The following is a 3,660-nucleotide window of genomic DNA, read 5'->3' on the forward strand; positions in this document are numbered from 1 at the left end:
ATAATGCCGCAATAAACATACGTGTGCATGTGTCTTTATAGCAGCATGATTTATAGTCCTTTGGGTATATACCCAGTAATGGGATGGCTGGGTCAAATGGTATTTCTAGTTCTAGATCCCTGAGGAATCGCCACACTGACTTCCACAACGGTTGAACTAGTTTACAGTCCCACCAACAGTGTAAAAGTGTTCCTATTTCTCCACATCCTCTCCAGCACCTGTTGTTTCCTGACTTTTTAATGATCGCCATTCTAACTGGTGTGAGATGGTATCTCATTGTGGTATTGATTTGCATTTCTCTGATGGCCAGTGATGATGAGCATTTTTTCATGTGTTTTTTGGCTGCATAAATGTCTTCTTTTGAGAAGTGTCTGTTCATGTCCTTTGCCCACTTTTTGATGGGGTTGTTTGTTTTTTTCTTGTAAATTTGTTTGAGTTCATTGTAGATTCTGGATATTAGCCCTTTGTCAGATGAGTAGGTTGCGAAAATTTTCTCCCATTTTGTAGGTTGCCTGTTCACTCTGATCGTAGTTTCTTTTGCTGTGCAGAAGCTCTTTAGTTTAATTAGATCGCATTTGTCAATTTTGTCTTTTGTTGCCATTGCTTTTGGTGTTTTGGACATGAAGTCCTTGGAAAATGGGCTTTTCTTCTAGTGACGGCTCATTAACTAATATCCTGTGTCCCAACTGTAGAAATATCTTGCATAAATTACACACCACCTTTTTTCTCAAGGAGCTTAAAGTGCTTAATATGCACCAGCTAATGCTCTTCCACACCTTTCCAGATTAGTATGAGACAGTGGAATCCCCATAAAATGAAAAAGAAACATGTCTGACTTCCTGTGTTTGGGGTCCCAACTGTGTTGGTGAATTGGTTTGGTTGGTATAGAGACAGGGTTTTCCCTCGACCTTATTGACCTTTTTCTTCCATCAGTCCTAGTTTTGGTATGGAGAAAACCCTCCTTAGGACTGCATTTTCATTCTTCTCAGCTTTCTTTCACAACTAACTGTGCAAAACAGGATAATACCAAGAAATTGAGTTAAGTGTCTGGACTATATATTAATACTCGAAATAGAATGTGACATTTTAAGTGTAAGACCATCATGCCATGAAGACAACCTAGCTCTGGGTAAGTTTTCAGTGCATCTTACTAAAGGAGCCAAAAATATGGGCTCAGAGTTGAGCACCACCCTCAGTGCTATAAATCAAAACATGCCATGTATGGGAATGGACATAGAACCAGTTCCATAGGTATAGTTTTAAAATGTGCTTTAACTCCAAAAGAGATGTTTATCCTTTTCTTGCCTCCCAGAATCCAGAAAATGTCCCCTGTTCTCTGTCTTGTCTGCTCCCAGCTGGGCCCTCAAATGTAGAAGGGTCAGAGCTGGGAAGCCTCTGAAATGGCATTGCTGAGCCCTGTCCCCCACCTCGCCCACATGGTGCGTCTCAAATTCTTTCTCATGCCTTCTCCCGGTGTCTCTTTTCTCCCTTGTTTTCTGCTTTTTTCCTTTTCCTCCTCACGTGTCTTAGGCCTGTTAGAGGACTCCCGAAACGTTGCTCAGGCCAGCCAGCGATCCCCGGGGCTGGCTTTTATCTGAGAACAATGCTCAGATAAAACCAGGGCTCATTGCCCTGGGTTTTGGGCTGCGGGACTGGCCCAGTGGAGTCCATGATGCATTGCGTGATCAGTGCAGTTCCTGAATCAAACTGGTCTTGCGTGCCCTGAGGTCTCGGGGGTTGGATTAGGGAAGTCATTGGGCTTAGAAAGGATTTCTCTAACTCTGAGTAACATGAGGATTTAGCAGTAGTGTTCTTCACTTGTCACCATTTCTCTGTCTGGAGTTAACATTCCTGTTAGTCAAAAAAAAAAAAAAAAAAAAAAAAAAAAGCACTATTAAAAACTCACAAAAAGCAGCCGGCTCCCCTGGAAAGGTAAAAGTGTAAACTTATATATGCATAATACTGGCAAAAGCTAGTTTTCTGGGGGTATAAATACACATGTGCTTCTAGAAATAAGGCTTCGTGTCAAACTCTAGACGGGTGGAGTACAAGACCACAGAATTTTAGCCGACTACAACTCCCAGAGGGGCGGGGAGCAGCACGCCGTCTTCCTTTCCAGCTCGGCGTTGTCGTAGGTGAACCTGCCCTTGCCTTTGCTGATGTGCCCACTGTTGGAATGGCAGAAACTGGGCCTGCTGACATCAGAAAGCCCCGACTTCTTACTTTTGCTAGTTAGTCTCAAGTCAATCTTGAGCGAGGCCTTGGGTTTGCTGTCAGTCCTGGTGAAGCGCTTCAGCATGGGAGAGGCCAGCAGAGCGCTGCTGTCCCCCTGGTAGTCATCAAACATGGAGGTGGCATTTGGCAAAAGTTCTTCAAAGGTTTTGATTCTTTCCAGGCTCATGAACTTGAAAGCATTTACGTATCTGACATCATCAGAGCTTCCTGAACTAAACTTGGGAGCTGAAATACCTTCCTTGAAGAAGTCCTCAGAGAAGGCAGGAGTTGAGTATGTAAACCCACTATTTTCTGTCAGTATGGCACTGAGTGGGATGTAGTCTTTACCATCCTGTTATACATTTGCTTGAAGCAAATCACCTAGTTTTTCCACAAGTTCTGCAAATCTTGGCCTTTCTTTTGGGTCTTTGTGCCTGCAGTCCAGCATGATCTGATAGATTTCAGGAGTGGAGTACTCAGCAGCTCTCATCCTCATGCCTTCCCTCAGGCAACTGCAGAAGTGCTCATCCATTTGCACTCCTGGGTATGGAGACCCACCTAAGGAGAAGATTTCCCACAGCAATACTCCCTAAGACCGCACATCGCTGTTGGTGCTGTAGATTTTGTCAAAGATAGATTCAAGAGCCACCCATTTCAGAGGAAGTCAAGTACCTCCTTTTCTCACATAATCGGCGTTCTTGTAAATATCCTGGGCAAGGCCAAAATCACAAATCTTCACCACATTGTTCTCAGATAAAAGAATGTTTCTTGCTGCCAGGTCCCAATGAATGCACTTTCTGGAAGACAGAAACTTCATGCCTCTGGCCACTTGAAAACTGTAAGAAATCAGATCTTCCATAGTGATGGGCTCCTGGTAGAAACCATCAGAATCCTCCTCTTCCTCAACATCACTCAGATTTTTATCTTCCTGAAACTTGGAGCTCCCAAAGCTCTCGCTGCTGGTGATGCTATCTAGTTTTGGTTTCTTGCCTTGTTCCAGGCCTGGCTCCATTTTTTCTTTCTTACGCTCCATGTGTGATGCCACATCCTTGTCGAGAAAAAATAAGTCATATTTGCTCTTGAGGTAGTTGGATAGATTTCCATATTTGCAATATTCAACAATCACCATCAGAGGCCCTTTGTTTGCTGATCTGACCCCAGTCTGAAGGAAGCAAGAGGGTTGAGAAGGAAGTCCAGCTGCACCGTGGGGCCCATGTGGTGCCCTGAAGGCCTCCTCTCCCCTGCCCTGCATTTCCACTGCATGCCCGGGCTGGGCACACAACCCCTTATCTTCTTTTTTGTGTTTTATTCTACACATAAGACACTACTACAGTAGAACACATCTGTAAAAATAAACAAATGCATATTCATATGTCAGAGGCACATGTCCAGAACTGTTGTTGATGGCAGCATGCAATCAAAAGCGCAGAGGCCTTTGCTTCCTAC

The 3,660-nt window shown here is 44.0% G+C and overlaps 1 pseudogene; it reads right to left on the reverse strand.

Annotated features, from left to right (window-relative positions):
* On the reverse strand, positions 1,836–3,363 carry FLT1P1 (FLT1 pseudogene 1; annotated as a pseudogene).

Source organism: Homo sapiens, chromosome 3, assembly GCF_000001405.40.
Source record: "Homo sapiens chromosome 3, GRCh38.p14 Primary Assembly".
Classification (NCBI taxonomy): domain Eukaryota; kingdom Metazoa; phylum Chordata; class Mammalia; order Primates; family Hominidae; genus Homo; species Homo sapiens.